The sequence below is a fragment of the Homo sapiens genome, chromosome 3, assembly GCF_000001405.40.
Source record: "Homo sapiens chromosome 3, GRCh38.p14 Primary Assembly".
NCBI lineage: Eukaryota > Metazoa > Chordata > Mammalia > Primates > Hominidae > Homo > Homo sapiens.
Window position 1 is genome coordinate 25,666,502 of NC_000003.12, and position 21,152 is coordinate 25,687,653.

At 40.2% G+C, this 21,152-nt stretch overlaps 1 pseudogene; it reads left to right on the forward strand.

Moving 5' to 3' along the window:
• On the forward strand, positions 20,334-20,760 carry CRIP1P2 (cysteine rich protein 1 pseudogene 2; annotated as a pseudogene).

Here is a 21,152-nt window from a genome sequence, read left to right on the forward strand (position 1 = left end):
TTTTTTTATGAAGATGTACTAGGTAGAAGCTAAGCTATAAAATACATAGCTGTCTCCTTTTTTAAACTTAAGTTGTCAAAGCTCTTTATCTTCCGTTTTTGTTGTTGTTTTTAGAGACAGAGTCTTGCTCTGTCACCCAGGCTGGAGTACAGTGGCATGATCTCGGCTCACTGCACCCTCCACCTCCCAGGTTCAAGCAATTCTCCTGCCTCAGCCTCCCAGGTAGCTGGGATTACAGGCACCGGCCACCATGCCTGGCTAATTTTTTTTACTTTTACTAGAGACGGGGTTTTCACCATGTTGGCCACCCTGGTCTCGAACTCCTGACCTCAAGTGAGCCGCCCATCTTGGCCTCCCAAAATGCTGGGATTACAGGCATGAGCCACCGCACCCAGCCTAGGTTCAGATTTTGAAATGAATAAAACAATATATTCAAAACTCAAATAGATTAATAAAAATAATGTTCTTTTCACTTGCCTCATATGTGAGGCATTGAGTCCTTTTGTCTTCTCAGTATGAAAAAGCCTTTTAATAAGTGTTACTAGTTTTAAGAAAATACTGACTTACCCAGAAGAATTGCAAATAAGAATTGCTGAATATACATGAAAATCAACATTTTTAAAGCAGAGATTTGTGATGAGTGGAAGACGGAATCTAGATTAAAAGTATCTCAGCTTCTAAAGAATTGTCCTTTTTAACTGTGCAGCAGACTTAGCATATCTTTATGATAAAATTGATTGTACGCAACTTGAGCATAGCTTTCTCTTCTGGGGTAATGTGAAGTAATTTTCAATTAGGGGTGGATCACCTGAGGTCAGGAGTTCAAGACCAGCCTGACGAACATCATGAAACCCCTTCTCTACTAAAAATACAAAAATTAGCCAGGCGTGGTGACCTGTGCCTATAATTCCAGCTACTGGGGAGGCAGACATAGGAGAATCACTTGAACCTGGGAGGCAGAGGTTGCAGTGAGCCGAGATCGCACCACTGCACTCTAGCCTTAGCGACAGAGCGAGACTCCATCTCAAAAAAAAAAAAAAAAAAGCTTCTATATCAGGTTTGTCTAGTTTTAGATACTACTTTGTATGTATATATTACATATAATGACTTAATTTCTACCCCACAGCAAGCACTGACCAAAAGGAAAAACTAGAAATTAGTCATTTCTATAAACTGTATAAAGGTCTTTATTTAATCAAGATTTCTGAGTAGCTTCCATAGGAGCTTATCCTAACTACTTCAGAATTTCTATTTTTAGATCTTATATTTCCTTATTGTAGCAATGAAAAAAAAATTAAATGCCTACTGTGTTAGGTACTCAGGACCTGGGAATTTAAAAAGGTGATGAAGACGCATTTTCTGCCTTAAGTTCACCCTTGAATTATAGTTTCAAGCTAATCATTTAATTGAAAAGCAATTTTATATTTATTCATTTGCTGTTTAATAAACAATTTACCTCGCTTTGGGAGACCAAGGCAGGCAGATCACCTGAGGTCAGGAGTTCAAGACTAGCCTTGCCAAGATGGCAAAACCGCATCTCTACTAAAAATACAAAAATTAGCTGGGCATGTGCCTGTAATCCCAGCTACTCGGGAGGCTGAGGCAGGAGAATCGCTTGAACCCGGAAGGCGGAGGTTGCAGTGCACCAAGACTGCACCACTGCACTCCAACCCGGGCAACAGAGCAAGACTCCATCTCAAAAATATATATATACATAAAAAATAAACAATTTACCTGATGAGCCACACCTATCATCACACTTTATACACAGTAGGTAATTTAATCAGTAAGTAAATTATCCAAGAAAATAGCAACTCAAAACCATACTTCTAGGTATCTGCCAAAGTTTCAATAGTTTCCATTTAAATGTTGTGTATCATTCCAACACTGAGATTCAGTTGGGAGGAGGAGGACAAATCTTTAACCTCGGGAGCATTTAAAGAAGCTAACATTTGAATTCAAAATTCAATGTCTATAATTTCACCTCTCCCTTCTCATTGCATTAATTTTGTGGATCCTTACGATATACAAGGTTGCTGGACTAAGAAAAATTTTTAATGTCTGGCCTATGGTAGACTCAGTAAGTGATTGCCTAGTTAATGACTATTGTATGTTTAAATGTAATTTAGTTTGTTATAGTTCTTTAGAAGTGAGCTCAAGGAAGAAAAGTTACTATCAATGTGACTTTTTGGTTTTCAGTATTTCTCTAGTAAATATTATAGTACATTATTAACTCTGCTTCTTCTAACTATTTAATTGCTACAGTTTATAAGTATATTTTTACTTTTAAAATGATATTTAAGCACCAAAAGTAACAAGTGTTTGCGGATGGCTGAAGATATCAATGATCATATTCCTGAGTATTATTACCACTAGGAAGACAGACAGCAGGTAAAGTTCTTCAATTTCTACCTGCAATAATTACAGGGTACAGTATTTGTTTTGATTTTTTGTTTTGCAGGAGTTTGTTTAGATTGGTTTTGGTCAAATAAGCTACACTGATCTTCTGGTGACATTCTAATTATACAGACAGAAGGGACACTTTCACTTATATGATATAGCTCAATAATATTCAGGGTTCTCAGTAATTCAGGGTTCTCAATAATAATTCAGGGTTTTCATACAACGTGGAGAATAAAATTAGCATGTGTCTTAAGAAAGTTGCTCTTGGCCTTTGTAAAAATGTCTAATAATTGGATGGACTTTCAAAGATGCATCTTGTTTTGAGAAAATTCTGCTTTGGGGGACATTAGATGTTATCATGCACCTGCCCTTCACCAACAAGATACACAATCTATCATGTGTATTACTAAGTTGTATTTGAAGTTTCTGGTTGCCCACAGTCATCTGATATTGTTACTTCATAGGTTTATAAGACTCACATCTTAAAAAATGAGACAGCAGTGGCTTTCCCAACTCGACTGTTTTCATTTCAGAAGAGTAGGGAATGGCCGGGCACAGTGGCACTTGTCTGTAATTCTAGCATTTTGGGAGGAACAAAACAAAAAAGGTACCTGCAAGTTATGTAAGGTGGTAATTAAAAATCAAAAATTCGAAAAGATACCATCTTTTAGTATGCCAATTAATAACAGAAAATAGCAAATTATTTCTGTTTCTTAAGAATTAAGAGGTCAGCCCAGATGTCATATATAACTAGTATCTTTATCTATCAGCTTTCCTCTTTGAGATGATTGTCAAAATGTGGAAAGATCCAGAAGGAGGCTGAGAAATGCAGACTCTTTAAGGAATATATTTCCATTTTAAATGTTGTTTGGGAAAAGTAAAAGAGTAAGACTAGCCTATTCAATAAAGGGTATACCACACAGTGCTAGCTTGTCAAAGAGAGTGTCTGGCATACAGTTGGTGTTCAATAAATAATTGCTTTACAAAAGGATATGAGGTGTTATCAAGAAGCCTCCCTCAGAAAAATTTCATGCACCATCCATGGTGGTGCTGAAACTTGGCCATTTGAGATTCATTCTTCAGCATCCTTGAGTCTTTTGTGTTTTCAAGTATTATTGGTTGACTACCAGAGAGGGTAAAATACCTTAAACTTTAATCTGCTAACTTTATCGGTTAACAGATGAAGAATTGGTTGAAGCATTGTGTCTCTTTAGTAGTGAGAAACAGGATGGTGTGAGGAGGGAAGGAAAAAAAGAAATTATTGGTACCAAAACAATTGAGGGAGAGGGGAGATGGAGAACAAAAGCATCAAACTGTGTGAAACTGAGTGGAGAAAAGAAACACTTTCTGGTCTGAAAGTAGATCAGCTGTAGCCTTGCCAGTGCTTATACTTTATTTCATTAAGAAGGAAAACCTCACTTATTGAGAACCCCGGTATCAATTTGTTACAGTACTAGTCAGGCCCTTTCACACATACTAGCTTAATTAACTTCCAACAACCCTAAGAGAGGTAGTATCATCATTCTTATTTCAGTCAAGAAAATTAAAGCTCATAGAAAGTCACAGAGCAGCCGGATGCAGTGGCTCATGCCTGTAATCTCAGCACTTTGGGAGGCTAAGGTGTGCAGATCACTTGAGGTCAGGAGTTCGAGACCAGGCTGGCCAACATGGTGAAACCCTGTCTCTACTAAAAAATACAAAAGTTATCCAGGTGTACAGCACATGCCTGTAATCTCAGCTACTCGGGAGGCTGAGGCAGGAGAATTGCTTGAACCCAGGAGACAGAGGTAGCAGTGAGCCGAGATTGTGCCACTGCACCCTAGCCTGGGCAACAGAGCTAGACTCCATCTCAAAAGAAAAAAAAAAGAAAGTCACAGAGCTAAGTAGTGAAACTGAAATCCAAGCCCAAGTCTCTTACTCCAAACCTCACCCTTTTGTCATACTGCCAAGTTGGCTAACATACTTGGCAATATAGCATATTTGGCAATGTGTTAAAAAGCTGGCAATACTGGTGAATAATTCTAGCCATTGGCCCTCAGTAGAACCCTTCGGTTGTTAAATTGTATTGCTGAACTATGGTGACAAATGTCTATCATTTGTATGACTGACTAGATGTTTTCTTTGAAACTAGTCTGAATCTACTTTGTCTTACCTTGTTACCTTTGTCTTACCTTGTTCAAAAAGCAAAGCAAGTTGCTTTTTGAAGCCCAAAGGATCAAAGAGAACCCAAAGCTCAAGGTCCTGTGAATCTTGTGATACCTCACCATCAATGTAATTTTGTTTTTTTTTTTTTTTTTTGGAAGATGGAGTCTCGCTCTGTCGCCCAGGCTGGAGTGCAATGGCGCCATCTCGGCTCACTGCAACCTCCACCTACCAGGTTCAAGCAATTCTCCTGCCTCAGCCTCCTGAGTAGCTGGGACTACAGGTGCATGCCACCACACCTGGCCAATTTTTTTTTTTTTTTTCGTATTTTAGTAGAGATGGGTTTCACTGTATTGCCCAGGCTGGTCTCCAACTCCTGAGCTCAGGCAATCCACCCACCTCGGCCTCCCAAAGTGCTAGGATTACAGGCATGAGCCAGCACGCCCGGCCCGCAATTTTATACTTTATAATCCAGTGTCCTCATCATAGAAGATATTCAAATAGCTAACATTCAAATGCAGAGGGAAAAATACAGATGTACTATGGGATTCCACTCTTGGATTCACATTTTGGATAATTTCAAATTCACAATAGAAGATATTAAAGATATCTTCAATTCAGAAGATCTAAAAGATATCTTCAATTCAGAAGATATTGAAAGCAGCATACAAATTTCTCAAAGTGTTTAGTTATACAGGGAAGACTTATTTGTGAACACTCCATCTATTATATGAATTATTTGCCTTTTTGTAATCTATTTTTATGTGTTATATGTTTGCTTCTTCCATTCCAGCATTTAGTAAATCTTGTTTCTCAGTATGCTAGAACTTTGAAGTATAAATGAGTATTTTGGAAATTATAAGTTTCAGAAACCATACACACTACTGTATAGTACCCATGCACAAGGAATTCACAAAACCCACTAGCATTTTTAAAGCCTCCGAGCAGTCCTGCAGTAAGCAAGTCAAACTTATTTAGTCTTGATAGTCTTTTCAGGAATATCTATTAACATCCTTGGAATTCATGTTTTAATGTAAAGACTTTGGGAACTACTGCCACTTTTTATTTTTGTTATTAGAACATGCTGCCTGGGCACAGTGGCTCACGCCTGTAATCCCAGCACTTCGGGAGGCTGAGGTGGATGAATCACTTGAGGTCAGGAGTTTAAGACCTGCCTGGCCAACATGGCGAAACCCCATTTCTACTAAAAATACAAAAATTAGCCGGGTGTGGTGGCAGGTGCCTGTAATCCCAGCTACTTGGGAGGCTAAGGCACGAGAATTGCTTGAACCTGGGAGGTGGAGGTTGCAGTGAGCTGAGATTGCACCACTGCACTCCAGCCTGGGTAACAGAGCAAGACTGTCTTAAATAAATAAATAAATACATAAATAAAACATGTTAATTTATATGTTTAGCAACTATATCTCTGGTTGAAAGAAAAAGCAAAGAACAAATTGACCCACAATTCTGCCATTCAGGTAATTACTGTTAACAGTTTGGTGAATATCTTTCTACTCCTTTTGCAAATTCTCAAAAACTTTTACTTTAAAAAAAGAAAACGGTAGGCTCTAATAAGTCATTTAAAATTAAAAAAGAATGCTATCCCATTAGAATAGCAAAAATTTAAAAGACTGACTATACCAAATGTTAATGAGAACATAGAGCAACACAGACTCTCATACGCTGTTAGTATTATGGATCTTACCACTGGATACCACTTTGGAAAACTCTTTCTCAGTATCTATTAAACCACTTTGGATAACTGTCTCTCAGTGTGTGCTAAAGCTAAACATTTACATATCTTATGAATCAGAAATTTAACTCACAGTGTTATGGGATCCTTGGGGTGTCGCTTCACCAGCCGGAAACCTCTGTGGTCAGTGGTGCCTTTGCCTGAGTTTTGCTCTGGCCCACTGGGCTTGTTCTGCCCACTTGGCCTGGCAGGCTGCACCCAGCTCACACTACTGGCCTGGATCTTATGCCTGCCAAGGGTGAGCCAGGCATGGAGTGGCAGGGGGTGTGTAAGCAAGCATGGGGGTCCGGCCACTGCACACAGCCAGGCTTGCTGGCTGTGGCAGAGCAGGCCGCCCCCAGGTGCCAGCAAGGGTGCTGTCTCCCTGCAAGGCTGCAGCTGGACCAGGCCTACCACAAGCAGCTTCCATGACTGGCACCAGGGAACACAGTGGTACCCAGAAACTTGGAAACACCAGGCAGAGCCCTAAAGAGGGTATTACAGCCCTGGCTCAGGGAGCTCCTAGGTCTGGGGTCCCTGAAGGGCCACAGCTCTTGTCTCCTTCTCTTTTCTCTCCTTGTTGCTCACAATGTGGCAAGCAAGGGGCATGTTTCAGCCCTCTTTGTGTTGTAGCTCTTTTAGCCCCCCATTTGACAGGTCCCAAGTTCTTTTCCAACATCCAAGAAGAATGAGGTATGCAGACAAGTGGAAGGTGAGCAAGATGAAGAGGAGCCTTCATGAGCGATAGAACAACTCAGAAGAGACTTGCAGTGGGTAGTTCCTCCCTGTAGCCAGCATGTCTGGATGAGTGTTCAGCTCTTAGAGATGATAACTCCTCTCTGCAGGCAGGTTGTTCCGACTGAGTGTTCAGCTCTCAGCAGAGAGGGTAGCTCTTCTCTGCAGCTGATGGTCCCATTGTCTCTTCAGCTCTCAGCAGAGAGGGTGACTCCTCTCTGCAGCTGGTCATCCCATTATCTCTTTGGGTCCGGCTGAGTATGGGGCTTTTATGGGCATTAGAGGGGAGGAAGTTCATGCCAACTGGTCCACGGGCAGCCATTGGCAGGCCTGGAAAAAGCACAAGTTCCCACTCTGGTCCACAGGATCAGCAGCTCGGCCCCCAGGCTCCAGGCCTTCCCTGGCTTGAAGGTGGGGCTTCACCAGGGACCTACTTGTTTTCACCAAGTAGCCTGTCTGCCTCCTGCTGCTGTTCACGGCACCAAGGCTGATTGTGCTGAGGGGGCGCCTTCAGGCCAGCACCAAGCCACCCTCAGCAACCCCTGGCCTCCCTCCCACACTTGTTGGCACCCAAAATCCAGAGGGGGCTGAGGCATCAGGGGGCTGGCATGTCAGCACTGCCTTGAGCATGCACACACCCAGCCAGGCTGCGACAGTGCCCGGGCTCAGCCTCAACTTTTCGCTGTGATCAGAGCAGGTGCCAAAAGTTGGGATAAGCCAGAGAGTAGGAGCAGGTACTTCCAAGCCTGGGGGGCATAAAAGGAGGGCCTTCCTGGGTCCCTGAGAGTACAGGGATGCCTCAGTCTACAGCCACGGCTTGAGTGGCTGCAGCTGTGCCTGGGAGGGCAGGGCTTCTGCCTGCTTCTGGTTCCCAAGAGCACAGGGGTTCCCAGGTTGTAGCCACAACTTGGGTGGCTGCAGTTGTGCCTGATGAGCTCCCTCACCACCATCTTAGAAGGAGCAAGGCTCCCACTTGTCCATGGCTCCCACTGGCTCCATGGAGTGCACAGCCCTGGCCACATTTTCCCCACAGCAACAGCAGGTGAGGTGCAGGTGATGCCACACCCTGGCCAACCGCACACAAACAAATTCGATGCTCTCAGCGCTGGCTCCGTAAGTCCCGGCTGCGCCTTCAGCCGGGTGCTTGAGGGCTCCCAAGACACAGCAAGGAGCGAGGTTGAGGCTGCAGCAGAGGCTCCAGGCCTGGAGTGGGTCCTGCCCAGCCATGTGAGGGTGGGGGTGGTATAGTCAGCTGCCTTGGGGATGTGGGGCACAGAGGTCCCACCACTGCCACTGCTGCTCCTGCAGCCACTCCTGCTGCCACCACCTGCACCTCCCCACTGGGGCCAGCATGACGGCAGTGGCTGCTCCAGATGGCCCACTGCTGCCATCAATAGGTATATACAAATAGAAATGCATACTTATGTACCAAGACACACACAAGAACATATATAGCAACACTTCATGGCAGCCCCAAACTAGAAACAATCCAAATATCCATCAGTGATAGAATGGCTATATTTTATGTGTGTACAATGAATATTGGTCAGCAATAAAAATGAGTGATCTACCACTACACTTAACATGTATGAGCCTCATAAATACAGTATCAACCTAAAGTCAAACATAAAAGAACACATACTATATGATTCCCTTCATATAAAATATTATTTTATATATATATATATATATATATATATATATATATATATATATATATATATATTATTTTTTTGAGAGAGAGTTTTTGCTCTGTTGCCCAGGCTGGAGTGCAATGGCATGATCTTGGCTCACTGCAACCCCTACCTCCAGGGTTCAGGCGATTCTCCTGCCTCAGTCTCCTGAGTAGCTGTGATTACAGGCACCCGCCACCATGCCCAGCTAATTTTTGTATTTTTAGTAGAGACAAGGTTTCACCATGTTGGCCAGGCTAGTCTCAAACTCTTCACCTCAGGTGATCTACCCACCTCAGCCTCCCACAGTGCTAGGATTACAGGTGTGAGCTACCGTGGCCGGCATTTTTATATAAAATTTTAAAACAGATAAAACTAATCTATAATATTATAAGTCAAGATGTAGTTACCTGTGGGAGGGAGACTCTGGGTGCTAATAATTTTTATTTGCTGAATTAGGTGGTGAATATATATTTCGAGAATTCACTCAGCTACACACTTTCGAATTTTATACTTTTCATTATTTTAATAAAAAGTTTACCCAAAAAATGCTATATCTCCAACACTTGACAAAAATAAGAGTGTATAGAAAAACAAGATCATTAATGCCTCTGAGTCCATCAGTGATTCAGAAGATTCACACTCTGGATATAAAGTGGTAGGAATACTCTTACCAGTGTTTTTCACTTTGGTTTTGCTTTTGATGTGTGCACAAAATGATATAAAATGAAATAGTTCTTTCAGTAAGCACAAAAGAAAACTCATATGTGATGGAAAAATGAATACTATCCCATCTGAAGCTATGCAGGTTCATTAATGAAATCTTGTAATTACCATGTTTACCTGTAAACCTTTACCTCCAAAACTCAATTTTCAGAAGTATAGAATTTTTATGACAAACAATAACATTTATTGGCTCCTATTATATGGGCACTGGGTTAACATATTGCTTGCATTATCTACTTTAATATTCATAACAGCTGTATGAAATACGAATTTATTTTTAAAATTTTTCAAAATTATAAATATAATACCTTCTGGTTGAAAAAACACAATAAAAAAACTATGTCCAGTAAAACTTGCAAACACTTCTTTAAAATCTGCTTTCCCTATTGATGTCTCTGGTTAACAAGTAGGTAGGTTTCCTTCCAGATCCTTTATATGTATGTAGAAACACACACATGCACACAGAAAAGAGATGAGTAATTAATGGGACCATATTATAAATACTGTTCTGTGTGTTGCTTTAGTTATTTTAACTGGCTGTCCTTGAAATCTTTTCTATGTCTGCATGTAGATCGCTCTCATTCTTATAATAACTGCAGTGATTAGTTTGCCATTTTACTTTAAAAGGGATTTCTCAAGCTCACTATGAACAGGCTCTCAACTAAGAGCACTATTGACTTTTCGGACTGGGTAATTTTTTAAAGACCTGTCCTATATATTGTGGGATGTTCACCAGCATTCCTGGCCTCTGCCCATTAGAAACCAGTAACGTATCACCACTGCTACCACCATCCCCATTGTGACAAACAAAAATGTCTCCAGACATTTTGTCCTTTGAGAAACAAAAGCCTTCTCTCGCACCACCGTCAAGAACCACTGTTGTAGAAGGATATGTGTGTTGTTATTTTCAACAATATAAAAGGGATTTGATGAACATCTTGGTATTATTTATTATAAACCACATATTACAGATGAGAAAACTGAGGCTAGAAAGGTTGATCAGCCCAAAGTCCCACTGCTGTAAGTGGTAGAAGTGAAATTTGAACCCAGTTCTGTCTCCTCCAGAGTTTATGAGTTTAATCTCCTTTCCAGTTCTCTCATTTTACTACCCAGCAGGTGTAGAGACCACTCCAAAGGTGATAGTAAGAATGGTAAATATCAGTACTTGACGATAAGAACAAATGTTAAAGTATCTTAGCTCTGACAAACATCCTTTAGCTTCTGACACAGCTAAGAGTTAAAACTTCTCTGCTTTCTAAAAGTACCCATAGCAGAACAAGTCCTTTGTAATAAACATTTAAGTAAATAGAAAACTCCAAAATTTCCAAACAGAAAGCCAGTGTAGTATCACCACAGTTAATATGTTTAACTATGACAAAGTGCCCTGAGCGCTAACCCAGTTTATAGTGATAACAGGTCCAAGGTCAGAGTTGCAGAGGTTCATGGGCAGGCAGCTTTGCTATCATCTTCATCTTTAATAAATATACATGTGTATCAAGCTCCTGTTCCACACAATAGCACACCATTAGTTCCTCATACTCCAATTGCTGGTCAAACGAGGCAAGCAACAGAGGGAGAGTGAAACAAAAGCCAAATTAACACAGCTGTTAATATCGATTACTTGCTATGCACCAGGTATTTAAGGTCTTTTGTGTCTGTTAATTCATTCCACAAATACTTATTAAACACCTACCATGTGTCATATGGGGCACCAGGTGCTACAGATGTAGAAGTAAACTAGAGAGACCTAGAGCACACCTCTATGAAGCATGTGGAAAAAAGGCATTAAATAACTACTTGCATAAATAAATCATTGTGATTGGTGGGGAAAAACAATGAAGCAGGAGGTTGGAGGCTTTCCTGAGAAAATTATGTTAAGCTCTGAGGATGTATGAGTTAACATCTCAAGAATAGCAAGTTGCATGTATGACACTCTCAGGCTTGTTGGAGCATGGTGTAGTTGAAGTGACAGAAGACAACTACTGCTGGAAGAGAAGATGACCAAAGTCAAATGAAACAGGGCCTATTGGGTCAAATTAGGGGTTTTAATCTTTGGACCAAACAAACTAACATACATGCAGAAATACACAATGGCAAACTCTTGAAGAAATTTTTAAGCAGGAGCAGGTTACGAGTACATGTGGAGTTTTGGTTTGTTTTGGTTTCTGGTTTTTTTTCTTTTGAGACAGAGTCTTGCTCTGTCGCCCAGGCTGGAGTCCAGGGGTGCATTCTCAGCTCACTGCAGCCTCCACCTCCGGGTTCAAGAGATTCTTCTGCCTCAGCCTCCCAAGTGGCTGGGATTACAGGCACGAGCCATCACACCCAGCTAATTTTTTCTATTTTGAGTAGAGCGGGTTTTCACCATGTTGGCCAGGCTGGTCTCGAACTCCTGACTTCAAATGATCTGCCTGCCTTGGCCTCCCAAAATGCTGGGATTACAGATGTGAGCCACCACACCCGGCCTGGAATTTTCTATTTTGTTTGCTCTAATATTCTTAATATTGTCTCATTCTTACAAAAGGGAAAAATCAGGGACCAAGTCTTAGAAATTAAACCAACTTGCCTACTACAATATATTCTTTTCTTTCACCACCAGAAAAATAAAATAATGTGGATCACAGTTATTGTAAGCCTCACAGAAGATATATTACAATTGATTCCTTGTTTCCATTTTGTTTTTTAATTTTCACACCTGGTAAATGAAAATATTTCTCCTGATGAATAAGAGTGGTTGCTAGTAGAGCTCTAAGTACAAAAATTCCCAGTGATTCTAATATTAAGTCCAGGCAACCACAATTTCTTGGCTGTCTTTTTAAAATCTGTTTCCCTGAACACATCATCCATAAATTCACTGCCTTGTTATTTTACCAGTGGTGATCTTTGTAATAGCTGAGCTGACCCTTCCCAGGAGGTCTCTGACAACCACATAATGATTGCTTCACTTGATTGTGGACATCTGATAATACAGAATATAGTAAAAGGTTGAAGTGTTTCACTATTACCTTGGTCATGAATTTCTCCCAGGAATTTGTCATGCTGTACAATTCTTGCTTTTAATTAAACTATCTTCCACTCGTCTTTTTCACATTACATTTCTTGTTTGTTCATTTGTCTCCAGTAACCTCAAATGAAATTTTTCACAGCAGTTTTTAATTCCTTGGCCTCAATTTTTACAGACTTTGTTAAAAAATTATTTCAAAGTATAATTTATCTGGGTCTCTATAAAATGAAAGGGATTTAGATTTGGTATTCCCTTCTAGCTAAATATTTCTATGTTTTTTTAATCTTCCTGTTATTTGAATATAAGAGTAATAATTTGAAAAATATGACCAGTGAATTGCATTGGCCCTTCACAGTTTGTTTTGAGAACCTTTTTTTTCTTTAACTTGATAGCAAACATTTCATATTTTACCCACACTGTTAGCTTCTGAAAGAATGAATACAACCAGGCTTCTTTCAACAGCCCTAAATCCCTGAATGAGAGCCTCCATTGTTTACCAGTAGGGCTCAAAAATCAAATATTCTAGTTTAACAATTACAAGAGAGAGTGGGGGAGGGGGAGGGGTAAAGTGGGGGAGGGGGAGGGGAAAGTGGGGCGGGGAAAGTGAGGAGGGGAAAGGGGGAGGGGAAAAGGGGAGGGCGAGGGGAAAGGCGGAGGGCGAGGGGAAAGGGGGAGGGGAAAGGGGGAGGGCGAGGGGAAAGGGGGAGGGCGAGGGGAAAGGGGAAGGGCGAGGGGAAAGGGGGAGGGCGAGGGGAAAGGGGGAGGGCGAAGGGAAAGGGGGAGTACAGAGGAGGGGGAGTACAGAGGAGGGGGAGAGAGGAGGGGGAGAGAGGAGGGGGAGAGAGGAGGGGGAAGGGGGAAGAGAGGGGAGAAAAGAGTGGGGGTTGGAGAGAGAGCAGCAGGACAGGGGAAGAGAAGAGAGGGGCCAGGGAGAGAGGAGATAGGAGTTGGGGGGTGACAGGATAGAGGAGCGAGAGGAGGAGAGAGGTGACTAGATCCATTTTGTGCTTGATTTGGGTAATGGCAAAAATGCCTTTTGCTGTTTAAAAAATTATTTTACCCTTTTATTAGAGCAGCCTCTTCAAAGGTCATGGGAGAAGAAGTCATGCTTCTAGGAGACTATTGTTTCACCTAATCTCAGTCATCCAGCATCTCTTGCCATTGGAGAGAGCTGAGCCTTCGGTCCCAACAAAAGTAATATCTGAGAGTTGGGACTGTGCAGACTCTGAATGAGCTGACTGTTCATTTCAGTCCTCCTGAAGAAGAGATATATAGATTTTCTCTAGCCCTTAAAAGTCTCCTGTACACAGACAGGGTGAATTCTTCGTGAACTGATTTGTTTTCATTTCTGAAGTTCCCTTGTTCTACCCCTTGATTGGTGTATGCTAAATTTTATTCATCAGTTTAGAACAAGTCACAAAATCATTTGCTAATAAACTCAAATAATAGGAAGGTTAAGAATTAAAAAAACAAAAAAACAAAAAAAACCTGCCATAGACCCCAGTAACTTGCTCTAATTCTTTTTTTTTTTTTTTTTTTTTTTTTGAGGCGGAGTCTCGCTCTGTCCCCCAGGCTGGAGTGCAGTGGCGCTATCTCGGCTCCCTGCAAGCTCCGCCTCCCGGGTTCACACCATTCTCCTGCCTCAGCCTCCAGAGTAGCTGGGACTACAGGCACCCGCCACCATGCCCGGCTAATTTTTTGTATTTTTAGTAGAGACGAGGTTTCACCGTGTTAGCCAGGATGGTCTCGATCTCCTGACCTCATGATCCGCCTGCCTCCGCCTCCCAAAGTACTGGGATTACAGGCGTGAGCCACGGTGCCCGGCCAGCTATAATTCTATTTTCCATTTTCATGTCAACAGATGTGATTGGGAAGTTGTTATCTCCAGTACAACAACAACAACAACAACAAAAACCTTCTAGAAATTGTAATAACCAAGGCAAGTAGCCACATTTGTATGCCTTATTATTGGACCTGAATTCTATTATCTTCCATCTGTCTGCTCAGTCTCCTTGTAACTAGCTATTGTCCTTCCTTCTCCTACCCTAGCTTCCTAACACCAGAGCTAAAACCAAGAAAGCATAAAAAACCCCAAGGTGATCTAAAATCACATGCAAAAGGTGTAATAGAATCAATCATCAAGCAAACCAAATAAAATCAGAATCCTTCAGAAAGAATCACCTATTCAAAATAGAATTCCATACCTTCTCACTTCCATCCACGACAAAGTTTCAAAATTTTTCTAACTAGAAATAATGCCTTTCATTTCATATTTAGAGAGGACAGAAAACTGAAAATATCACTGCTACAGGTAACTTGTTGATTCAATTGTATTTGATTTGATATTGATTTTATTTGATATTACATTTCCAGGAAGTTGGTTTTGTCACAACAGATCGTTTCAGAAAGGAAAAACTGCATTAGAGGGAAAGAAGACAGAAATAAGAGTTGAGGGAACAGTGCAGGTAAACTTCATGTGATTCCAAATTTTGCTTTGGCCCAGCTTTGGGTATATTTCAGATAGGTGGAACTCTTGAATCTACTCCATTTATGCAAACCTCTAAGCTGCCCCCAGAATTGAATCTCCGGTGTTTCTTTAAATCAGACACAAGTCTCCAGGGCTGGACCGAGGGACACAGGCAAAGCCTATGCAAAAATGGAATTATAAATACTATATCTGTTCTTTAGAGAATGAAGTTGTATATTTTATAAAGTCATGTAGCTGTTAAAACTATTTTAAAGTGAGGAAACTGAGGTTCAGAAAAACCATGAGATATGTGCACTATCACTTAAGTCAAACACACAGAGCTAGGATTCAAATTGAGGTGTGTTCAACTCCTCAGGCCATGCTCCTTTTTTATACCTCACCTAATCTTAAAAGTACTGTAAGCTTATTTATCTAATAGCTCCTTCAAGCCCCATTTCTTCACTCCTAAACATCCTACTCATCATTATACTGTTATAAACAGTTAGGAAACTTTCATTTAAGACACTTGATTCAAAGAAAAAATTGAAAAAAAGACAGTAGTTTACAGGGTTGTTTTTTTTTTTAATTTTTAGCAATGGGGTCTTACTATATTGCCCGGGCTGAAGTGCAGTGACGATTTACAGGCATGATCATAGTACATGGTAACCTTGAACTCCAGTCTCAGCCTCCTGAGTAGCTGGCACTACAGGCATGTGCCACTGTGCCAGGCTGCTGGTTGAATTTAAATGGTACTTTCAAAAAGAACTATTTTCACTGGCACTTTAAGTACATTTTACAATAAACATCATGGCCAACCATTAATATCTACTCTAGGCAAAATTATGAAGTATATTAACTTTGCCTTTCAAGACCTCAGTCGCATAAGTTCTATATTTCATCACATTAAGAAGGATCTAAAATTCATTTGCATTCAAGATTAAGTAATTCAAAGTAGATGAAGGAAGGGCTTTGCTTTCACAGGATTTAAAGGTTTAAGGTGCTGACTTCTCAGGCCTTTCTATATGTTTATGGGTATCATAAACATGTTATACAGCATTCCCCAAAATTATTTGACCACAGAACACTTTTTTCTCTACATAGAATCTCAAAGAATGAGAAATGCTGGCTGACAGGCCATCAGCCAAGTTTTCCCTGCAACAGTTTTATTTTTCTCTAAATGTCCCTAAGGAGTAAAAATTATAAATACATAATCCAAAAATGAAATTTAAAAAAAAACCATTTTTACAATAGCATCAAAAAGAATAAAATACTCAGAGTAAGTTTAACAAATGAAGTGCAAAACTTGTACTCAAACCACAAAGCATTGTTGAGAGAAATTAAAGATCGAAATAATGGGAAGATGTCCAATGTTCACGGATTGAAAGGCAATATTGTTAAGATGACCATACTCCCCAAATTGATCTACAAATTCAAATCAACCCCTAGCAGAATTCTAGCTGGCTTTGTAGAACAGGACAAGCCAATTCTAAGACTCATGAAACTCAGGAGACTCAGAATAACCAACACAATCTTCTAATAGAAGAATAAAATTGAAACATCAGGCCGGGCGCGGTGGCTCATGCCTGTAATCCCAGCATTTTGGGAGGCCGATACGGGTGGATCACGAGCTTAGGAGATCGAGACCATCCTGGCTAACACAGTGAAACCCCGTCTCTACTAAAAATACGAAAAAATAGCTGGGCGTGGTGGCGGGCGCCTGTAGTCCCAGCCACTGGGGAGGCTGAGGCAGGAGAATGGCGTGAACCCAGGAGGCGGAGCTTGCAGTGAGCCAAGATTGCGCCACTGCACTCCGGCCTGGGCGACAGAGCGAGACTCCGTCTCAAAAAGAAAAAAAAAAAAGATCAATACTTCCCAATTTGGAAACTTACTAGAAAGCCACAGTAATGAAGACAGTAAGGAACTGGCATAAGAATAGACATATAAGTCAATGGAATAGAATTGAGAGTCCAGAAATAAACCCATATATCTACAGTCAAATGATTTTCAACCAGGGTGCCAAGATCATTCAATAGGGAAAGAATAGTCTTTTCAACAAATGGTGCTGAAACAACTGGATAGCCACATGCAAAAGACTAAAGTTGGACCCTTACTTCACATTATATACAAAAATTAATCCCAAATGGATCAAAGGCCTTAATGGGAGAGTCAAAACTATAAAACTCTCAGATAAAAATATAGGGATAAATATTTATGAACTTGGATTTCGCAATAAATTCTTAAACACCAAACCCATGAGCCTCAGTAAAAATAAATAAATTGGACTTTATCAAAATTAAGCTTTTGTGCTGCAAAGGATACCATTAAGAGAGTGAAAAGACAACCCATGGAATGGGAGAAAATATTTGCAAATCATATCTAATGGACTTGTTTTCAGTGAAAAACTCTTACAATCCCCAATAATAAAACAAGTAACTCAATTAAAAAATCTGAATTGACATTTCTCCAAAGAAGATATACAAATAGCCAATAAATGCATGAAAAGATGCTCTATATCAATAGTCATCAGGGAAACACAAATGAAAATCACAATGAGCTTCCACTTCACACCTGTAAAATGGCTATAACCAAAGACATGGAGGCTAGTAAATGTTGGCCAGAAAGTGGAGTGAAGAACACTCATACACTGCTGGTAGGCATGTAAAATGGTGGAAAAGTTTGACAGTTCCTCAGAAATTTCAATGCAGAACCATCATTTGACTCAGCAATTTCACTTCTAGCTGTATACCCAAGAGAAGTGAAAACATATGCTCACAAAAAAAGCTTGTACGTGGATGTTCATAGCAGTATTATTCACAGTATCCAAAAGGTGGAAACAATCCAAATACCCATCAATGGATGAATGAATAAACAAAATGTGGTATATCTACGTAATGGGATATTATTTGGCCATCAAATGAATGAAATACTATTACAAGCTACAATATGGACAAATTTTGAAAACATGCTAAAATGAAAGAAGCCAGCCATGAAAGATCACATATTATATGATTTCATTTATATGAAATATCCAGAAGAGGCAAATATAGACAGACAGTATATTAGTGATTTATTAAGCCTGGGGGAGGACAGGATTGGAGGATTGGGAGTGACAGCTTAAGGGCACAGGGTTTCTTTTCAAGGTGATGAAAATGTTCTAAAATTGACTGTGGTGAGGGTTGCACAACTCTTTGAATATACTTTGTGTAACCTTGAAATGGGTGAATTTTATGGTATATTAATTATATCTCAGTGAAGCCATTTCCCCCAAAAATCTGTAGCACAGGCCTCAAAATGTGCTCAGTGGAATGGTTGCTTCCATGGACCATGGGTTATTGGTCCACAAAGCGCTAAGGAGCTTGCACCACTATAAAAATGTAACAAGACTTTCTTGAAAAGAAAGTGTGCTGCTTATCCAAGCACAAGCTTATCTCATTCATAGTCTCCTGTGAGTAGCACTGATCTATCGCACTACACACACCAAATAGAATGGTTTTTAGCGTCTCTGGTGACTATGGCTACAGAGACTAAAGTGAGGAGGGAAAGCAATCTTGTAACAGTGGCTACTCCCAAATTTCCATGTTAGCAGGTAGAGCATGAGACCATGACTGAGAGAAGAGAGTTGTTAGCGAAGTGCCAAAGTTGGAAGCAGGGGTAGGGTATGGAAGATGAAGAATAGAAACAGAAATATAAAGCCAATCCAGAGCTGGAAGTTGAACAAGAGAACCACAGCTAAGAAAATAGCAGTAACAATGTATTCAAATTTAGCTTCTTTAAGAAGCATCTGGAGAAAAAAATGTGGGTGACAAGCTGCCACCCTCACTGCCCTGGTTGGGATATAGAAGGACTTGAGAGGAGGGTCAAGAATCTATACAACAAGCAGTACAGACAATTTCAATGCAAGTAGTCCTTGAACCCCACATTAAAACAGTGAACTAGAGGAAGAAGCAGAAAATAAATGCACACAGCAGGGATGGAATCATTTTATAGAAGAGATTTTATGGGATTTTATGGAGCTGAATCCCTGGTAGTCACAGGAGGACTCTTAAAATTGAAGCTGAGTTCATTTTTGAAAAAAGAAAAAAATCTATGCTTAGCTATTTTGCAATATAAGATTTTGACTTACTCTTACTGTAATTACAAATCAGGACTTTAAGCAATGTCCTGTATTTTTTTTAAAGCAACAACATGAAGTCACACAATGTCCTATTTTTAGTAAAAAAAAAAAAAAGAAAAAGACGTTAGGATGTAAAAAACAAAATAAAAGCTATAGTTTAAATTTCTAGCTCTTCTTAGAGTTGTAGAGGTATATTTCATCAACAATGTATAACAATTAAAGTAATTTCAATTAGGCTAAATATCAGGTTAAAAAGAGCTATGAGTTAGGGTTCAAGTTTAAAGAGAGCTACAAACAGGGAGTCTAGGCCTTAAATAAACCAACCTACAAGTATTTATTGAACACCAACCACATAACCATCATTTTATAGGCACCATGGAAAGGAAGACAAATGTCCTTGGCTCCAAGGATATTATAAATATGGAGACAAGGCATTTAATAATAAATGAGAATCATTTATTCATTCAGCAAACATTTGCTGAGTATCTGCTAGGCTGAAGACTGGCAAATATCAATGAAAAATTATTTTGTACTTATTATCTATCCTTTATGCCTTTTTGCTTGTCTAGAATATTTTATAATGATTTTAAGTGCTAGTTAAATTGTTCCAGTTTAGTGTTGGCTAATAACAACTGCTAATAATATTGATTTCAGGTTTGAGAGAATCTAGCACTCAAGACAGTTAGAATTAACACTAATTGAAAATTATGCCTTTAATTGATCCTAAAGTTAAAAAAAAAAATCTGGTAATGGCTTTTGCTTTTAATTACCTGTACTTACTTTTCCTTTCAAACTGCCTTTAAACTCTTCATATCATTTATTCTGGGATTTAACTAAAATACTGCCTGATGTTATTATTTCCTAAGACTTTACACATGTATATCTCAGTCTTTGAACACAGCCAAGAGAAGGGATCCTATCTTATGCCCTTTTATATTCCCATCATACAGCACCACTTCCTAAAGATTAATAATGATCCATTCAAATATGAATGAATCTTGTTATAAGTACAACATAATTGGACAGGTGCTAGACTACAGGATTGCCACATTATTTCAGTCTTTTACTCAACAGAGTTATGTTTCTAAGAATGCGGGTGATGCCCTATTCGAAAGAAAAATAAACTGTGAAATAATGGCATTACACTGTTTTAATGAGAAAGATGATAATAGATTTTCCTGACAAAAAATGATTAGATTTATGGATGAGAAAAGTTCATATACTAGTTCAGAAGAAAAGCACTTAAATATGTTGATCAGCCAAGCTCCCTGTGCAATATAAAGCTGTGTAAATGTTAATCCCAAAGTAAAATCTTTACCTAGTAGAAATTTAAAATTTAGTCTCACACCTGTAGCCCGTCCCGCCCCAGCCGCCGCCGCCAGCACCGGACCCGGAGCCGCCATGCCCAAGTGCCCCAAGTGCGACAAGGAAGTTTACTTCGCCGAGAGGGTGACCTCTCTGGGCAAGGACTTGCCTCGGCCCTGCCTGAAGTGCGAGAATGTGGGAAGACGCTGACCTCCGAGGGCCACGCTGAGCACGAAAGCAAGCCCTACTGCAACCACTTGCTATGCCGCCATGTTTGGGCAAAAAGGCTCTGGCCGGGGTGAAGCCGACAGCCACACTTTCAAGTAAATCGGGTGGTGGAGACCTCATCCTTGGCCGCTCGCTGGGCCACTGTCCAGGCAAATGCCAGGCCTCGCCCCCAGATGCCCAGGGCTCCTTTGTGGCCCCTAGTGCCCTCAATAAACATGAACACTTGGGGGAAAAAAAAAAAGGAAATTTAAAATCTAGAGGGAAGATAACAGGAACAAAAGACATTTAATTAAAAAGAAAGAAGATAAGAATTTTAATGCACCCAGTTTAAATTTTTTGTGTTTAGGAAGACTATAAAGTGAATGTAGGTTGTATTTTTACTATCATGTTATTTATATGCCATTATTAGGTAGCTGAATTTCTGTTTCAGCCATTACAAACTGCATCAGTTGCTTTTAACCTGTCTTGCCAAGCATATCTGACAACTCCTACCTACCTTCAGTTCTCTAAGTTCTTTACTTTTGTCCCATCAGACGCCTACTTCAATCTTCAAGCCCTTCTCCATCCTCTTCAAATCAACAGCTTCTAGCTTTATCTACTCTTTTTAACTTCCTTAACTTCCTGTT